Source organism: Homo sapiens, chromosome 6 (assembly GCF_000001405.40).
Source record: "Homo sapiens chromosome 6, GRCh38.p14 Primary Assembly".
In the NCBI taxonomy this organism is placed as follows: domain Eukaryota; kingdom Metazoa; phylum Chordata; class Mammalia; order Primates; family Hominidae; genus Homo; species Homo sapiens.
Genome location: NC_000006.12, coordinates 79194073 through 79214048, shown reverse-complemented (window position 1 = coordinate 79214048; position 19976 = coordinate 79194073). Strand labels below are relative to the sequence as shown.

Genomic DNA, 19976 nt, shown 5'->3' with positions numbered 1-19976 from the left:
AGATTCTTGGATTTGACCATCCACAGTTATTATTATGAACCTCTAAAAAAAGATGGGCTAAACAGTAGGAAAAGAGATATAACTTTGATGACAACCATTCCGTTTGCACAGGGCTTTAGAATAGGTGGAAAACTGCAGCTGTTACCCTTGAACTTATCAACTAAAAGGGGTCATGGGTGAGACAAAAACAATATCTAGTTACAGGTTCTTTGATTGGGTGATTCATAATGTGGTTAATAATTCAGAGGAGTTTATCGTGATACCAAAACCCCTGCACAAGATTTGTACAAGGAAATTCATTCTGCCAAGTGGAAAATCTTAAACAGAACCTATAAAGAAATAATTTAAAAGCAAAACAAAACAGTCTGTCCCCATCATCCATGTACCTAGCATTCACTGTTTGACAGAGTTTGGAATAATCATGAAGTTTGTTATCCAAAACAGAGTCATCACACACATGCAAGAACCAACCAAAAAATGATAAATGCTTGAATTTTCTTGGGAAATGGCAAAATGTGATTTTTAGAACAGTTGGCTAAGTATAACTAACCTTAAATGTTTTTAAGATTTGGACACCAAAACAAAAGCATTTGGGTTTTTCCTTAGGGACTGGCATTTAAATTGATTTGTCAGTCAAAAAACCTAGAAACACCATGGCACCCAGTAATCTTTGATTGTCTTTCCAATCCCACTACACCAAAAGTAAATCAAGCTTGTGAGAATGTATATATAAAGGATATGTGTGTGGTTTTGCTTGTACAGCTGTCTTATACATATTATTTTATTTTATTTTATTTTATTTTTTGAGATAGCATCTCACTCTGTCATCCAGGCTGGAGTGGGTGAGGTGGCAAGATCATAGCTCACTGCAGTCTCGATCTCCCTGGCTCAAGTGATTCTCCCATCTCAGCCTCCAAGTGGCTGGGACTGTAGGTGCATGCTAGCACACCTGGCTAATTTTTTTATTATGTTTTTATTTTTAATTGTTATTTTTATATTTTATTTTATATTATTTCTATATATTTTATGTATTTTTGGTTGTTAATAAAAATGGTTTCTAGATAAGGCTCTACCTGTCATTTAAGCCAAGGCCAGATTAAAACTCATGATAATGTCTTCAGGACATCAACACAGTTATTTAAAAAGTGAAAAGGTCAGTTAGTTTGCTGATGGTTTCGGGTAAAAACTGTCAGTGTATTGATTGATTGATTTTTTTTCTTTCCCACTGGATTGACTGAATTTTCCAGTTATGTCATTGAGTATGCACCACCTTGACTTTAGTGAATAGATAACAGTTACTAAGGGGGATTCTCTTTTGAAAATCCTCTTCCACTGCCATATTAGAAGGCATTGTGCAGAAGATAGTACTTCAGGGGACTTGGACAGTAAATAACCAAAATAATACATTATAGTCATTACAATCAACAGTTACAAACCCTTTTACATCCATTATTTTGTCTGGTCCATATAGTAACTCTAAAATGAGAGGAAGGCAGATTATTCCTCAACGAAAACATATAAGCACCTATAATGCGCCAAGCACTGTTCTAAGCTCTCCAGATCCCACAGTGAACAAAAGAAGCAAAAATCGCTGCTTTCATGGAGCTTCCTTTTAGTGGGAGAGAGAGTAAAATAAAATGATTGAATATTAGCTATGAAGAAAAACAAAGTAAGGAAGGAGAATAGTGAATGTCAGAGAAGTGCTATTTTTGAGGACAGATTGACAGATGTTATCCCTATTTTAACTAGAGCAAAGTTCTCAGAGAAACATGATTTTCCCTGGGTGTTAGAACTTGTAAATAGCAGAACCAGGAAAGATATCTGCATCTCCTGTTCCAAAATCCGCTATCCCTATGGCCCTTTTATGACAGTCCTAAAAATCTGGTAATCCAGTATCCATTTTTCTGTCTTGTCTATTCCCAGCCAAGGCTCTGAGGTACAAACTTTTCTACTTCCCAGTTTTGAAAAAAAGGCAATTTCTTTTTAGGCATTTTTTTTTTTTTTTAGAATTAAAAGCAACTTGACTTTTGGGTTTTGCTTGGAGGTACATGGTCAGGCTCAGGAGCAACAACATCTCATAAAAATAAAAATACTCCCACATTCCAGAGGAATAGTCCATGTGTTTCAAGCAGTATCCAGCAAAGTGCAGTGATTCTATTGAATCTAGCTATCCCTGTGTACTTTGTCATTGGGAGATTAGACTTCTATGTTGCTTTTGCAACCAGGATATTAAAGTAGAAGATTTCATGTCTTTCAGAATAGGCTTCACCAGAATTTTCTCCAACCTAAAGGATGATCATGCCTATGGGATGATGCCTATGGGATAATTCCACTGTGACCAGCACCTATATACCATAGTGGCAAACCCTCACATTTGTCGTATCTGTTTGTCATATTTATCAATGATGACTTTTCATTCTAAAAGCCCTCCTTCCCTCCCTGAGAGCTAGTAAAATAATTGGATATTGGCAATTAAGGAAAACAAAGCAAGGAAGGGAAATAGCGAATGTCAGAGAAGTGCTGAGGAGCAGTCTCTGGACCACTTTTCCTGAGGATTCACAATTAAAAAAAAAAAAAAAAAAACAAGAGAAATTCTTAATAGCTTTTTTTTCCCCTCGTAGTCCCACCCAACAATCTGAGTCTCAAATGAGTACTTCACATGTTAGTGTTTTAAAAAGGAAAAAATAGCAGTCTAATCTATTTCATATCCAATAAATATAGTCCAATAATTTACAGATTTTAAGGCTGTGAAAGCTGATAGAACTTTCCAGGAAGGTGTCCATACTTGTATGCATAATCAGTACTGCTGACTGAGTGAAAGGTTCATCTCAGCCTCCACTGTTTGCAGTGAAAACGAAAATCTCTTATGATAGCTACTGGAAAAGAAAATGTAAGAAAAGTCTTTTTTAATGGCATAGAAAGAAGAGCTGGGAAATTGTATGTAGCAAGTCATAAAATGATTTTATAATAGAAGATAGGATTTTTAGGTACTGGCTGGTTTAGACAGCTTAGGCATTTTTTTTTTTTTTTTTTTTTTGCATTAATTTCCGAGGCTTTTTATTTTGGAACTCCTGTACTGGACCTGAATTTTTAAAAGGTATTAAGTCCTTTGGATCAGAACAGCTGTTAGTCCCAGTAGAGCAGTGCTTAGATTGGAATGTCTCTGGAAATCCCAAAGAGCTCTCTGGCATCACTTAGTCTATTTGGTATGTTCAGGTCTTCACATGGAGAGGAACAACATTGTCGCAGCTGGGGAACTTTTCACATGATTTTGCCTCACTTCATGGAGATTTTATTCAAGACAACTAGATGGCAGATAGGGAGGCAGTTTTGAGTAATGGCTAACATGTTTGGACCCTTTTCAGGCCCCAAACTAAAGAGTAACTGAGTAGTGGCTCTAGGACTTCTTCCCCTCCCTACAAGTTCACAGTTGCTGTATGTTTCTGGTGCTTACCCCTTCTGTTCATCTCAACACTTATTGAGGGCCCCTGCTACATATTGGAGCCATAGAAATATAAGAGAAGGTGGTCCTGTGCAAGGAGGTATGGAGACGTGTCAGATGAGGTGAACGTGAGGCAAGACCAGCATGGTGCACATGAGTTGACATCAAGTGGAGAGAGAGTCAGATAAGGCTCTTTCACCTCTCTTTAGCATGGAGACTGTCACTTTCATCTTGGAAGGTATTGTTCTGCCTGCTGTAGTTTATGAGACATGGATAGTCCTTGAGGCCACACTGAAGCTTCAAAGCTGAGCTCTGTTGGGTAATTGGAAGGTGCTCTTTGCTCCTCTATGCTCAGAAAGTACATTAAAAAAACACAAGATACCTCTTATTGCCCGGTTTACTTGAAAATGTTGCCTTCAGTATACTTAATACGGTTAACCATGCTGGGAAAGGTATTGCAGGATTTGGATTCTGGTTCCCAGGGACTTATGGGTGCACTGTCAAGAATGCACCCTTGATAACCATAGCAGGCACTATGGTTCCTATGGAGAATCTGACACACACTCCTCCTGTACTAATTCACAGGGCTATGTGCTGAGTTGTACAAGCTTTTACTCTGTGCAGTGAGTGTATCCCACCCAATCACTTAACCTGCACAGCCTTTCATTCTCAGCACATTCTCCTAGCTGGCCTTAAGTCCAGCTCTGATCTTTCTTCGAGACTCCAGGGTTAAAAGTATTCATGGAGGCTCTGGCCCTTCGTTTCCTTCTGTAGTTTAAAGAAAGATGAGTTTAGCTTCTCTGGCTATTTTCAGCAAGAAAGTTCTTAGATGTGGAGATGGCAAGAAATATTTCTTCCAGTTTGGCCTGACTGGCTGACCTAGACTGACCTTAGCCCCACTTCAAGAATTCCATGATTCCTCATAATTATGGCATGGATTCCTACTGACCATTTTTGCTGTCCCCCTTAGGAAGAATTATTTGAAACATTTAAGCTATTGTAATGAGGCAAAGTCTGCATAAGGCAGTGAGAATTAGGGAAAGGCTTGGATTCATTTATTCAGCAAATACTGAGTTTGTACTATATGTTGGCCAGTACCCTACTGTACTGGAGATGGAGCAGTGAATAAAACAGACAAAAAGTATGGAGTATTTATTTCTAGGGCACTTTTTTTAAAAAGGCAGTTATGCTTTTAGAATGTGAAATCCCTTGGGGAGCCACCGTAGGTTGGATGGTAAGTAGAATATCAATTTTGTGTGTTATTGCTGAAATGCCTAGGACAGTTCTGTTAATTTAGATTTTCTTTTCAGGGTCATTTGCTGTTAACTTGTAATATCCTTGAAGAAAAAAAGATTTCCCCAAAATATCAATTTCTACACAGTTTCTCTGTAAATTTTCTAAACTTTGAAATTAAAAGAAAAAGTAATGCACTTTTAATTCTGGTTAAATCCTTTGAACATATACTACTAGATAAATGTGTTTGTTTTGTTATAGGTAAAAAGAAGCCTTTCTTGTTAACTGCCAAGATTTGTAGTCATTTTCATTTCTAACATAGCAGCAAGATGGGGAACTCCTGCTATTTTGGTTTCTACACAATTGCATAAGTCTCTTCTTGTATTAACTTAAAAGCTTTAGTTCCATTTTTAAGGAGCTGGAGTCAGACTGAAGACTAGCTCTTAAATAGCACCTCAATGTTCTTGCTGTTGATTTTGTCATAAAAGTAGAGGTTTTAATTTGGGATAAAGCCTAAGTTGATCTTCATTTCCCTTACTTATTCACCACACCCTTAGTTGGGAGAAGCCGTTTATTTGAACAGTATACCTACCCCTTTTTAGAAACACTTCCTCTTGAGTGTCATCGTGCCCAGGGGACTTGGGATATGTTTCACTGTGCTTACCTGGAGAAGGTGATGGGAATCATACATTATAGTCATTCAACAAAGTAAGGTATATTAAGAATAGATTTTTAAAAATCAACTTCGTTTTATATAATCACCAAAAAATATGTATATTTTCCCATTCCCTTTGTAGCCCACAAGACGGTCTGCCAGATTGTCAGCGGTAAGTACCTTAGAACCACTTCAGTGTTAGTTCTTATGAGTACATGTTCCCTTTGTCCAAAGTGAAGCAGCAAAAGGAAGATTAACATGGTTTCCCATGAGCTTATTTTCTTTTTGAAAATTACCTAGGGTCCTCATGTCTAGCAAATTTGACCAGTGTTGCCAAGCAATTCACTTGATCAAATGTGTCAGAAAAACAGTGGCCAGCCCCATAACGAAGAATATAAAGCAGGATGTTGTTTGACATTGCTAGATCTCTGAAACAAAAGTAGTATATTAGGCAAAGTTCCAGTCTTCAGATTGTACCTATGATGTGCTGAAGTGGACAGAATTCTGATTCTCTGTCCACAACTCATACTTTAGAATGTATGTATGAGAATGTTCTGAAAGTTGTCTGAGTCCATATACTGTAGCCTCATTTCAGACCTAAAGAATCTTTGTAATAGTAATAATTCTACTTTGCTATTTGGTGTCTCCTTCTGTGGGCCAGGAGATTCTTGTGGGGTTAGGATACAAGCTGAGATGGGCAGATGTGGCTGAGCCTCTGAGGTGGACATCCTTCAGCTCTTCCTCACCAACCTGTGCTCCTTACTGGTTCTTATGCTCTTCTCTTTTGCTGCTCTCCTGAGAGATTAGCTGGACTCTAGTGGAGGATTTTGGTTAAAATTCCTGCAGCCCAGACTTCCCACTGAGAAGGTAGAGGGAAAGGCATTGGCATTTTGGCTGACACTATATTAGTATATCCCCATACTAGCTATTACAGAAGCTTCATGCTACTTTGGTCTTCAGGAAAGCATGGATTTCATTCTCAACCCAAATCTGTGCCTGATACAATATAAGGAATCAAAGCAAAAATGGGTATTAGGACCACTCACAAGTTCAGAAATACAGCTGTTTGGATCAGGCAAGCCAGTGTTTCACGTGAGTCTCGTAAGGAAGTATATTAGTCTGTTTTCACACTCACTGCTGATAAAGACATACTCAAGACTGGGCATTTTACAAAAGAAGGAGGTTTAATTGGACTTATAGTTCCATGTGGCTGGGGAAGCCTCACAATCATGGTGGAAGACGAGGAGCAAGTCACATCTTATGTGGATGGCAGCAGGCAGAGAGAGAGCTTCTGCAGGGAAACTCCCATTTTTAAAACCATCAGATCTCACCAGACTCATTCACTTTCACAAGAACAGCACAGGAAAGACCCGCCCCATAATTCAATCACATCCCACCAGGTTCCTCCCATGACACATGGGAACTGTGGGAGTTATAATTCAAGATGACATTTGGGTGGGGACATAGCCAAACCATATCATTCTGCCCCCAGCCCCGCCCAAATCTCATGTCCTCACATTTCAAAACCAATCATGCCTTCCCAACAGTCCCCCAAATCTTAATTCATTTCAGCATTAACTCAAAAGTCCAAAGTCTCATCTGAGATAAGGCAATTCCCTTCCACTTGTGAGCCTGTAAAATCAAAAGCAAGTTAGTTACTTCTTGGGTAAAATGGGGATACAGATATTGGGTAAATACATCCATTCCAAATGGGAGAAATTGGCCAAAACATAGGGGCTACAGGCCTCATGCAAGTCCGAAATCCAGCAGAGCAGTCAAATCTTAAAGCTCCAAAATGATCTTTGACTCCTTTTCTTGCATCCAGGTCACGCTGATGCAGGACGTGGGTTTCCATGGTCTTGGGTAACTCCGCCCCTGTGGCTTTTCAGGATACAGCTTCCCTCCTGGCTGCTTTCACAGGCTGGCATTGAATGGCTGCAGCTTTTCCAGGCACACGGTGCAAACTGACAGTGAATCTACCATTCTGGGGTCTGGAGGGCAGTGGCCCTCTTCTCACAGCTCCACTAGGCAGTTCCCCAGTAGGGACTCTGTGTGAGGGCTTCAACCCCACATTGCCCTTCTGCACTGCCCTAGCAGAGGTTATCCATGAGGACCCTGCCTCTGCAACAACGTCTGCCTGGGCATCCAGTTGTTTCCATACGTCTTCTGAAATCTACGCAGAGGTTCCCAAACCTCATTTCTTCACTTCTGCACACTCGCAGGCTCAACACCACATGGAAGCTGCCAAAGCTTGGGGCTTCCACACACTGAAGCAATAGCCCCTGTACCTTAGCCCCTTTTAGTCACAGCTGGAGCGGCTGGGAGACAGGGCACCAAGTCCCTAGACTGCACAGAGCAGAGGGACCCTGGGTCAGGCCCACGAAGCCATTTTTTCCTCCTAAACTCTGGGCCTGTAATGGGAGAGGCTGCTGCAAAGGTCTGTCACGTGCCCTGGAGACATTTTTCCCATTGTCTTGTGCATAACATTTGGCTCCTCATTACTCATGCAAATTTCTGCAGCCGGATTGAATTTCTCCTCAGCTCAGAAAATGGGATTTTCTTTTCTTTCGCATTGCCAGGCTGCAAATTTTCTAAACTTTTCTGCTCTGTTTCCCTTTTAAAACTGATTGCCTTTAACAGCACCCAAGTCACCTCTTGAATGCTTTTCTGCTTTGAAATTTTTTCCACCAGATACCCTAAATCATCTCTCTCAAATTCAAAGTTCCACAAATCTCTAGACCAGGGGCAAAATGTTGCCAGTCTCTTTGCTAAAACGTAACAAGAGTCACCTTTGCTCCAGTTCTTAACAAGTTCCTCATCTCTATCTGAGACCACCTCTGCCTGGATTTCATTGTCAATATCATTATAAGCATTTTAGTTAAAGCCATTCAACAAATCTTTAGGAAAGGTCACAGTCATTCAGCAAGTCTCTAGGAAGTTCCAAACTTTCCCACATTTTCTTGTCTTCTTCTGAGCGCTCCAAACTGTTCCAACCTCTGTCTGTTACCCAGTTCTAAAGTCACTTCCACATTTTCATTATCTTTCAGCAGTGCCCCACTCTTCTGGTACCAATTTACTGTATTAGTCCATTTTCACGCTGCTGATAAAGACATACCCAAGACTGGACAATTTACAAAAGAAAAAGGTTTAATTGGACTTACAGTTCCATGTGGCTGGGGAAGGCTCACAATCATGGAGAAAGACAAAAGGAGCAAATTATGTCTTACGTGGATGGTGGCAGGCAAAGAGAGAGAGCGCTTGTGCGGGGAAACTCCTGTTATTAAAACCATCAGATCTCATGAGACTCATTCACTAATCATGAGAACAGTGCAGGAAAGACCCACCCCCATAATTCAATCACCTCCCACTGGGTTCCTCACATGACACATGGGAGTTGTAGGAGTTACAATTCAAGATGAGATTTGAGTGGGGACACAGCTAAACCATATTAGGAAGAGGTGTCAGTCACTAGGAGGACTTAAGAGCTGGGGTTGCTGTTGTGAATCTCCAGGCAGTTAAGGGAACAGACCTTGTAAGTCAAATGAAAACCAAAGTTTAAAACAAAGCTTTTCCTGAGCACCAGAAACCAGCAATATAAGCACCTTCCACTGAGATCATTCCCTGTGCTACCGAAACAGAGCCTCCTCAGAGGCCAGCAGGATTACAGACTACAAAACCTCATTTCCTGGTCCTATCAAAACACTTGAATGCTGGGTCAGAGGGAAAGGTCTGTCCTACAGAAAATAATATAAAAGGAAATTGTTTACTGTAAATGGAGAAAACATGTATATTAATACAGTATATCAAAGCTTAGGATGACAAAATGTTTTAAATTCTGAAAATGTAAGAGCCATGAAAGCTGCTGTATTTGGCCTGCAGATTTAGGGTGATAAGAAGATTAATAAAAACATTTCTTAACTTTTCAAGCTCGATTTTCTTTTTTTATTTGAAAGGTCATTTCTAACAGCCAATCTTCTGAAATCAAACTGTCTACAATTTCACTTTATGCCCTTGATGAAAAGGGGCAGATTCAGTGTGAACGTGAATTACCTAGAGGCACTAGGGAGGAACATGTATTTTTCTCCATAGGGGGAGACCCTGGCCAGTGTTTTCTATTTTAAAACCATTCTTCTAGTGCCAGGAGAGATGTACACTTTTTTCTAGTTCTATGAGAGAAATATTTGCCCTAAAATATCCACAGAAAACTCCTGGTGTAAAATGGTTATCTTTCCCCAGTTATCCGCATGTGCCACCTGGTCTCAGGCCCCTGGGAAGCTGGCCAGGGCTGAAGCATTGTGTGGCAGAGGGTCCATGGTCACACGGTGTGCAGGTGCTGCTCATGGGAACTGGAGGAGGACCACATGAGGCAAGAGAAAAATAGTTTCCTAGGGGACTGTTTGGCTAATAATATCTGTGAAAAATTTAAACTTTGGGAGCTAACAGTAGACATTTTATCATTATAATGATGTTCTCAATAAAAACCTTTAGACACAAATGAGCCCAGCATATCTGGTTAGACAAGAGATTCTCACCTTGAGCTGGCATTGGGGAGAATAAAAGTAGGAAGAAGCTTGGCAACAGAACTCGAAATCTACATTAGAAGTGGAAGGATTTGGAAGTGATTTTGAAATACTTCACAGGCAGCAGTCTTCATTACCAGTTGGGCTTTGCTAGTGATTGTGCTGTGATTTCTAGACTGTTAGGAAGGCCAGTGCAACTGAATTCATTGAGTCCTTTGGCCATGGGCCTGAGTCATTCCTCTTGCTGCTGTGCTGTGATAAAAGGAAGAGCAGACACATTGGAGATAGAAGCTTAGACCTGTTCCCGGAGAGCTATTCTGGACCAGGGAATAAGGAGTCGGCTTTTCAATCTCACCTGCAGTTCCCTTGTGAACCCAGGGTGAAAATAGTTATGAAATGCAGAGATCTTTATGCTGTTACCTGGTGCTGAAAATAGGATGAAATACTTTTTAATGACCAAAGCCATGTCAAAATGGATAGTTGTCTTTGTTAGTCCTTTTGTGTTTCTTTTGGTGCTGATAGTTTTTTTTTTTTTTCAGTATTTGTGTAATTTAAATTATCTTTGCAGAAACCTGCTCCACCAAAACCTGAACCCAAACCAAGAAAAACATCTGCTAAGGTAAGAAGTGCTGTTTCCCACTTTTGGCTTTTTAAACAATGAATAAATTATAATTCCCTACCTCAGAATCATTCAAAGAAAGGCCGTATTTAATGATCCAAACTGAAACCATTACCACTGTTACGGGCTTGCTTAAAGGCATAAAGCACAGTTTTCTGCGTTAATAGGAGTGTGTTTTCCATTTGGTCAGTGAGGCACGGGAAGTCAGAGATGTTGCTCTGAGAAGCCTCATGTCCGAAGGGGGTTTGGCAGCAGCCTCGTGAACATGCGGTTCATGCGGCACACAGCGGGGATGAGTTTGGGCCCTGGCAGCACTGCCCCACTATGGGAGGAATTTGGGAAGGGGCTTCTGACTTCATCTAACTGGATTTCGCAGGCCAGTCTGAGGTCTAATAATAATAATATAATAATGCCAGCAGGTAATATTGGCATTTATAAGGCCCTTATAGTATGGCAGATAAGGTTGATTGCTTTACTCATATGACCTTCACATCAACTCTGTTGAAGTAGATACAAATATCCTGTTTTGCAGATGAGGAAACTGAGGTACAGAATTCTTAGGGAACTTACCCAAAATGGCTTTTCTGCACTCTGCCCTTTGGTATTGTCCCATGTGAATTGTTTAAAACTTATGTGTATAGTGGCATGAGTAGGTGATTTCAGAAACAGAACTCACTTTTGTTGTTTGGTCTTAAAATTAGGAACTTTTCTTCATCTGGGCTTCATTTCCCTGCACCTTCCCAGCTTTCTAGTCATGCAAGCCACATGTCTCCACGTGAGGGGTTCATTGGAAAGCAGCCACAGAGCCACCCCCTGGCTGGGTTCTTCCCCAGCTCTGCTTCCTCCTTCCCCAAGTCCTGCAGCTGCTCTCTCCATGGCAGAACCACTTCTCCCCTTACTGGAGGGGAGGTCCACTGAACAAATCCAGGAGAGGAATCATTGTGTTTTCCACAGAAGAGAAAGTACACTGGACTTTCTGTGCAACCTGTTACTACATTTTCACAGAGACTCATATTTGTGCAGTGTAACTCAGTTGAAACCCAGCAAAATTAGGCTCCCGTGTCTCCATAAAGGCCACCATGATGGTAACGGTTGTACTTCACCTTGTGTTTGGACAGAGGCTGATTGATTTTAGCCATCATCACACCGTGTCTAACATTCTCTTTCACTGTGCTTTGATCCTCTGTTAGAAAGAACCTGGAGCAAAGATTAGCAGAGGTGCTAAAGGGAAGAAGGAGGAAAAGCAGGAAGCTGGAAAGGAAGGTACTGCACCATCTGAAAATGGTGAAACTAAAGCTGAAGAGGTACTTTCCATAAATACCTCCCACTGATTGAATCAGTGTCTTTAAAGAAATTTCTCAATCCTTCAGCCGGTGATAGCACGTTCTTAATGTCTCTTTTTATTGCCTGTAATGTTATTGCAGATCCACATCTCTCGCTCAACTGTTAATGTCTCAACCTCCAGAGGCACCCCACCCAGCACACTGTCAGTAAAGGGGCAGATTGAAACAGTGAGAGTTAAGGGTACAGTAGAAAATTCTGCATGTTTGCAGTGACTAGAATCAGATAGTAGTGTGGTGGTTTTTTTTTTTAATCATTATGAAGAGTGGGAGCTTGCAGGTAAGGCTTCTGTGGTGGTTTGAAAAGCAGAAAGCAATAAATGAAACAAAGTGTTTGTGTAATATATTCCTGCCTTGTCTTCTTCACTCAGAGTTGAAATAGGTTTTGCAGTAAAGCTGGAAAAAAAAAAGAAAACAAATGTTCAAAACTGTGTGTGTTGGTGGGTGGAATTTCCTTTGCTTATAGTAGTTTCAGTAGTAACTATATGTTTTTTTTTCCTTTCTTTTTCACAGGCACAGAAAACTGAATCTGTAGATAACGAGGGAGAATGAATTGTCATGAAAAATTGGGGTTGATTTTATGTATCTCTTGGGACAACTTTTAAAAGCTATTTTTACCAAGTATTTTGTAAATGCTAATTTTTTAGGACTCTACTAGTTGGCATACGAAAATATATAAGGATGGACATTTTATCGTCTCATAGTCATGCTTTTTGGAAATTTACATCATCCTCAAGTAAAATAAATATCAGTTAAATATTGGAAGCTGTGTGTAAGATTGATTCAGCATTCCATGCACTTGCTTTAAAATTTAGTCCTGTGCATACTGTGGTGTTTTTACTGTGCATATTTGAATTTTTCATGCAGTTTTTCTAGAGCAATAATCAGTGGTGCTTTTGTACCTAGGTTTTATGTGATTTTAATGAAACATGGATAGTTGTGGCCACCTGCTGACTATTTGTGGTTTAAAATAAAAGGTTTACTTGTCTGCAGAATACCTGACTCTTAGTATCTTTACTGCATTTTGGGAGTGTTTCATTTTATTGTTGCAGAAGATATAAAGAATTTTGATAGACCTTGCCATAGCGGTATCTCCAATAAGTCAAATAAGATTGTTTCTTAATTTTCTGGCCTTTAACATTGTTACTATTTTAATAAAATCATCTATGAATGCTAATGTAGAAGAATTACATCTAATTCACTTTATACCAGAAGTGGCCAGCAATGATTACTGTATAATAAAACTTTATAAAGCACTAATTTTTAAAAATCCTTATAAATAGGATATAGTGCTGCTAAATCAAAGCTAGTAAAAAAAAAAAAAAAAAAAAAAAAAAAAAAAAAACATAAACTAAGGCTCAACTTTGAAAATCTCCCACTTTTGAAATGATAAATACTAAGTCACATTTGTACAAAATCCTTCGCATTCAGTTGAGAACTTCACAGCTTTGAAAGTGCTTTACCCAACATGAGCATGTTTCAGCCTTGCATCAGTTTGAGAATGGAGTTGGCATGGGTATTATTAGAGCTCCTTTCTAGGATAAGAAATAGGGATGTGGAGTGTATTTGACTTACTGGAAGGAGAAAATCCAGGCTGGAGTCTTGAATTTTAAACAGTGTCTTTATGTCTATGAAAGGACATAGCAGTGCCAGGAACAGAGGAGTTATTTTATACATATAATTTTTCGTTGTTGTTTGCAACCTGAGAAGTTTGGTAACTGCATAAGCACTCCAGGAAAGCTGAATTCTGGGCATTTGTCTTAAATGAAGACTTGAATCTTTTAAGATGGCAGGTGGTGCCTGTGCTGCTCAGGGACTCCTGCAAAGAAGCTGTTGTTCCTTTGGGCCTTAGATGCTTTTGTATTGTGCTTATGAACAAAAACAAAGTTCCTCCTCCAGATTATATTTTGGGCCTAAGAACTTAAACTTGCCTCATTGTCCCAAGTCTGTCATTAGTTGACTGCATATATCAACCATGTTATATACAGAATAATCTTGTTCATAGTTTACCTGGCTTCTGAGTATGAAACATACTTTAATTCATGAGTTTTGGACATGCTAAAAACTGCTTTACTGCAAAGAAAAATATCTAGTATCCAATGAACTCTTCACAAAAATATTTTCAGTATACAGTTAGTACTCAGTTGAAGTATATTGCTGGCTAGTTTCCATTCCAGAAGTGAATCATAAATTCCCTAGGTTTACTTTTTAAAAAATTATATAAGTGATCCCAGTGATTTTTTTTTAGAAGACCAAATACTACAATAATACATAAAGCAAAAAGTCAAAATCTTTTTTCCTCCCATTCCTACATCCCAGAGATAATCACTGCACACTATTTTCTCTATTTTCTCTTTCTCATGTGTGTGTATGTGTGTGTGTGTTAGGGTTATGTACACACACACATATATATGTATATATATAATTTTTAAAAGAGAATGAATCAGTATCCTATTTTGAATTTATTCAATCTGTAGTTGGAGAAATAGATCATTTCTAATATTACAGTGCTGTCAATGATACTGCAGTAAACATGCTTATATACAAAGTTTTTCTACCTATGTATTTCTTCTGCTCAACTAAATAACTTCCCAGAAGCAGAATGTCTGAATCAAAGGGAATATACATTTGACATTTTGACTGCCTCCAAAAAGGATGTACCAATTTCCCCTTCCATCACCAACATTTGAATACCATCTCTTTCCACCTTTGCCAGCACTCATTTTGGTCAGTCTAATAAATGAAAATATGCCTCACTTTTAATTTTAAATGTATTCTATTATTAGTAAAATTAAACTTTTTCTGTTTAATGGTCATTTGGATTTCTTCTGTGAATTCTGATTTTGTCTTTTTCTGTTGGGGAGTCAGTGTGTTTTAAATCATTGTTGCTCATAATAACCATTGATGCTATTACTATTAATAGCATCAATTATTACTATTATTGCTATCAGTAATAGCATCAAACACACAAAGATCAGGGGTTCTGTAGGCTATTGGTGTCTACTTAAGTACAATATATGGATATTATCGTGGCCACATTGAAAAACCGAGCAGGTATCATAGAGACCACAGCTACCCAAAATAACCCAGGATCCCTAAATTGGTCCCCCAGAACTTGAAGACTTGATGAATATACTGCCAAAGATAAGGACACACTACCTTCAACTACATGGAAGCTGTGGGACTCTCCATGCACTGCCCCACTGCTACCCCTTTGGTGAATTTATAGAAAATTAGAAAAAGGTTCTTCTTCTCTAAGACACTTGTCTGCTAATTTGCTGGAGAATCATAAAAGCCCTATGAATCTACAATCACTTTGAGTCAGATGGTACCCCCGTAATTGGGTTGCACTATTTGTACACTTAAAATTTACTGCACACTTAAAATTCTTTCTGGAGGCTACCCCATGGATTCTGGTGCAGCAAGAGTGGGCATGTGGCCCTGGAATCCCCAATTATAAGTTCTGTGAAAAGCTAATCTGAACCAAAAGTCAAGATACAATGGTCAAACAATAGGTGAACCATCCCATAAAATCTTAAATGTATGTTTACATAATTAAGAAGTTGGAAACAGGTATGAAATGAAGGTTTCTATCCCCAAATTTTAGGGGACATCACTGTTGGTTAGAGGTACAAATGCTATCCCTTAGGTTGACCAAAAATAATGGGCTTAGAGAAGCTGTCTCAGCTCAGCTATCACATGCTAATGCGTCTCTTTTTTGAATGTTTTTCCCTTTACCATGAATGCCAAACTTTTATTATTTTCTATTTATTATTTTATGCAGAATATTGATTTAAAATCTTAGGATGGTTATAATGATTAGGATAATAATAGCCAGAATGTGTATAAGGTCCTGTAAGAAGCACTTTACATAAATAATTTTAATTTAGGAGAAAATGTTTAATTATTTATTTAAATGTAATGTTCCTATCCCCTAGTGAAAATAAGCCCAATTTTACAACACCAAATAGAGACTTAGGCTCACTTAAAGCCATAAAGGGAACTTTGTGATTATGCATCTCTTCCCTCATGTGAGAAGAGAAAGTCTTTGAAAGCCCAATTTTAAAATTATATTTACATGTATATCTTCATGACTTTAAATTAGGCAATGATTTCTTAGGTATGACATCAAAAGCACAAGAAACCAAATTAAAAATAAGTAATTTAGGCTGGGCATGGTGGCTCACATCTGTCATCCTAGCACTTTGGGAGGCCGAGGGCAGATCACCTGAGGTCAGGAGTTCGAGATTAGCCTGGCCAACATAGTGAAACCCTGTCTCTACTAAAAATACAAAATTAGCCAGGTGTGGTGGCACATGACTGTAGTCCCAGCTACTAGGGAGGCTGAGGCAGGAGAATTGCTTGAGCTCAGGAGGTGGAAGTTGTAGTGAGCTGAGATCATGCCATTGCACTTCAGCCTGGGCGACAGGAGCAAAACTCAATCTCAAAGAAAAAAAAAACAAAAGATTTCAATAGACATCGCTCCAAAAATGGATGCAAATGACCAATAAGCACATGAAATATGAGAGGACAGTCAACATCATTAGTAGGGAATTGCAACTGAAAACCACCATGAAGAATCACTTTATACCCACTGGGATGGCTATTACAATAATTTTAAAGGAAAAATAGTACTGAGAAGATACAGAGAGATTTGAGCCTTCATTCACTGCTGGTGGTACTGTAAAATGGGAAGCCTCTTTAGAAAAGAGTTTGGCTGCTCCTCAAAAGTTAAGACAGTTATCATATGATCCAGCAATTCCACTCCTAGGTACATACCCAAGAGAACTGAAAGCATATGTTCACACAAAAACTTGCACATGAATGTTCATAGTAGCATTATTGGTAACAACGAAAAAGTGGAAACTAATCCAGATGTTCATCAACTGATGAGTAAACAAATATAATATGTCCATAAAATGGAATAGCCATAAATAGGAATGAAATATTGATACATGTTACCACACAGATAAACCTTGGAAACAAAATGCTAAGTAAAAGAAGCCAGACATAAAAGGCCACATATATGAAATATCTGGAATAGGCAAATCCATAGAGACACAAACTAGATTATTGGTTGCCAGGGGACAGGGGAGGAAGGAAAGGGAAGTGGCTACTAAAGGGTGGAGGGTGTCTTTTGTAATGTCCTGGAATTAAATAGTGGTAATGCTTGCACAACTTTGTAAATATACTAACAACTACTGACTTGTCTTCTTTTAAAAAATGACTTTTATAAGCCTACTGAGAGCACAGGACTTAGGAGGCCTGAGCTTAAATCCCAGCACTATTTCTCAAAAATTGTGTGAACCCAGACAGGTCATTTAAGTTCTAGCTCTCAGTTTTCTCTGTAAAATAAAGATAGTATCTGTTTGACAAAGCTGTTAAGATTGAATGAGATAGTCACTGTGAAATCACCTGGTGCAGTATCTAAAATACAGTAGGTTTTCCACAAATATCAGTTGAACTCATTGGATGAATACAAACGGGCTATGTAGCCATCTTCTGATGAGTATGTACCACATTTTTTGTCAGAGGCAGTGGGTATCCCTTGAACAATGCAAAGGAATTGTGCTTCTCTTAGAAGGCAATATATTATAATGCTTAAGCTTGTGAACACTGAAGCCAAACTTGTCTTGGCTACTCACCAGCTATATGACCACAAGCATTTACTCAGTTATTTATATTTTAGTATTTTTATTTAGAAATGGATTAAAAATGGTACTTACTTTATAAGGTGTTTAGAAGTGTTAAATGGCACAAATTAAGTGTTCAGGGAGTGATGTGGTTTGTCTGTGTCCCCACCCAAATCTTACCTTGAATTGTAGTTCCCATAATTCCCAAGTGTCGTGGGAGGGACCAGGTAGAGATAATTCAATCATGGGGGCAGTTTCCCCCATCCTGTTCTCATGTTGGTGAATTAGTTCTCATGAGATCTGATGGTTTTATAAGGGGCTTTCCCCCCACCTTCGCTTCTGACTTCTCTTGCCTGCCATCATATAAGATGTGCCTTTGTTCCTCCTTTGGCTTCCACCATGATCATGAGGCCTTCCCAGCCTTGTGAAACTGTGAGACCATTAAACCTCTTTTTCTTTATAAATTGCCCAGGTTCATGTATGTCTTTATTAGCAGCAGGAGAATGGACCAATACAGGAGTATTAATATTTCTAGCCAAAACTTGGAGCACATTAGTTCCTTGAGGAGTGGTTGCATTGTCTCATTCTCCCTTGTGCCTCTAGGACATGACAAATTAAATAGACTCAGTAAATACTTGTTGAACTGAATTTGGTCTTTTATGGACAGGAAATGACCAAGCTCAGGGTTGTTAGCACTGCTATATCCATCTCCAACTGAAGCTAATTGGACGCTATATGTTTGGTGTAGCCCAAACATATAAACCATGGTTCTGGCAAGTATTCCTTGGAATTAATGCAAAAATTAATCTTTATCTAATTTAGTTTGGATTTAAAGCCTTTTGAAACACTAATACCACAAATTTAAGAAAATATTTCTGTTGGTTGTGGTCCTATTCTTGTGATAGTACTTGTTCACCTTGTGTATACACATTTATTTTTAATCTAGACCCAAGTTCACTTTTGTAGAAAAATTATACCATGATCTGTTATACCTTTCTTTTTAAATCATATAATATTTAACAACTGAATACAGAATATCCCCTTAGAGATAAATACACCTGGACCTACATTAATGGGTCTCACTGGGTTCCTTGAAGCCAAGTCATAAACTCTAAAGCTGAGAAGAGCCTCTGAGGTCATCTAGTCTCTCCCTGATGTGGCTTAGATTTCTCTTTACAATAGGATCAAGCAAAGAGTTACTCAGACTGATTAAATACATCCGGTTTGAAGAAGTATCATCCAAACAGCTCTGAAAGAAAGTTCATCCTTATTGCTGAGTTAAGAACTGTCTCCTTGTAGCTTCCAATTATTGATTCCAGTTAAACTAGGATCAGGCACATATAAGCTAATTTGATCCTTCCCCCAAAGCTGCTCAAATATCTAAAGATGTCTATCGCATCCTGTCTAAAACAACTCTGTTTCTCTTACCCTGCCAGATTATGGTCATAGGACATAAATGTCTTTTTTTATTTTATTTTATTTTATTTTTTTTGATGTGGAGTCTCACTCGTTCGCCAGGCTGGAGTGCAGTGGCACGATCTCAGCTCACTGCAACCTCTGCCTCCTGGGTTCAAGCAATTCTCCTGCCTTAGCCTCCCGAGTAGCTGGGACTATCGGCGCATGCCACCACGCCCAGCTAATTTTTGTATTTTTAGTAGAGACGGGGTTTCACCATGTTGGCCAGGATGGTCTCGATTTCTTGACTTCGTGATCCGCCCGCCTCGGCTTCCCAAAGTGCTGGGATTACAGGCATGAGCCACTGCACCCGGCCGATGTCTTTTAAAAGTGTGATGCATTTAAATGAGTCTTATAAATTCAGATGGTTGAGAAAAAGGAGCAGGAATATTCAAAATGGTCACATTAGGTTGAACCAAAAGAAAGGTTTATCTTCTCTTCTCATTTGGACCTGCAAAAACAGCATTTTCCTACGGCTCAACCTACACTTTCCCTAGCTGTTCCCACCTCTGCAAATTTGATTAGTGTGTCTTCTGTGAGTTCATCCTGATCTCCAAGAAGTATATTTTACTAGGCAAAGAGTAATCCAGGAGTGCGCCAAAGTCTATCTTCCAAGTTCATCAATTTAGCAAAAATATATTGAACACCTAGGTATCAGGCATTTTGCAAGGCACTAGGGAAGCAGTAGTGAAAAGGTTAGTTTCACTGCTCTTATGGTGCTTAGAGTATAGTGGGTGGGGAAGCCAACATTAATTACATAGTAACACAAATAAACATACATTTACCAGAGCCATTATGGAATCCTAACCTCTTTCATGGTACACCTTTAATGTAGTTTCTCTAATGGATTTCATTTTGGGAACTATATCTCCATGACTTTAACAGATGTTAGCCATAAACAAACCCACAAGAAATTAAATACGTTAACTTAATGAATAACATCTTAAAAGTATTATTCATCTGGTTGCCAGAGAGTGCCTGCCAAAAATGACAATTTGGGTTTGGCGTAATTAATGTTTAGTTGTACTTCCAGGAAATAATTTGTCTTGAGTATTTCTTGTGGCTCTTCCACTAATATA

The 19976-nt window shown here is 39.0% G+C and overlaps 1 protein-coding gene across 9 annotated transcripts in view, besides 2 other annotated features; it reads left to right on the top strand.

The window, feature by feature from the left end:
- Nucleotides 1–12804, top strand: part of HMGN3 (high mobility group nucleosomal binding domain 3) — a 33438-nt gene extending 20634 nt beyond the window's left edge. For 2 of the 9 annotated variants that reach the window (NM_001318885.2, NM_004242.4), the window contains 4 exons: nucleotides 5473–5502; nucleotides 10419–10469; nucleotides 11660–11773; nucleotides 12323–12804. In NM_001318885.2, coding sequence (NP_001305814.1) covers nucleotides 5473–5502; nucleotides 10419–10469; nucleotides 11660–11773; nucleotides 12323–12361 — 234 coding nt within the window. In that variant the 3' untranslated portion in view covers nucleotides 12362–12804. Of the gene's footprint in view, nucleotides 1–5472; nucleotides 5503–10418; nucleotides 10470–11659 lie in introns of all 9 variants that reach the window. The other 7 variants (NM_001318886.2, NM_001201363.2, NM_001318884.2 and 4 more) reach the window with 7 other exon arrangements.
- Nucleotides 6986–7485: an enhancer, noted in NCBI's record as "H3K27ac hESC enhancer chr6:79916281-79916780 (GRCh37/hg19 assembly coordinates)". NCBI's record gives its function as "activates a minimal SCP1, AML or CMV promoter by ChIP-STARR-seq in naive H9 embryonic stem cells {active_cell/tissue: H9 hESC(naive)}" and the evidence as "EXISTENCE:reporter gene assay evidence [ECO:0000049][PMID:30033119]".
- Nucleotides 7486–7987: an enhancer, noted in NCBI's record as "H3K27ac hESC enhancer chr6:79915779-79916280 (GRCh37/hg19 assembly coordinates)". NCBI's record gives its function as "activates a minimal SCP1, AML or CMV promoter by ChIP-STARR-seq in primed H9 embryonic stem cells {active_cell/tissue: H9 hESC(primed)}" and the evidence as "EXISTENCE:reporter gene assay evidence [ECO:0000049][PMID:30033119]".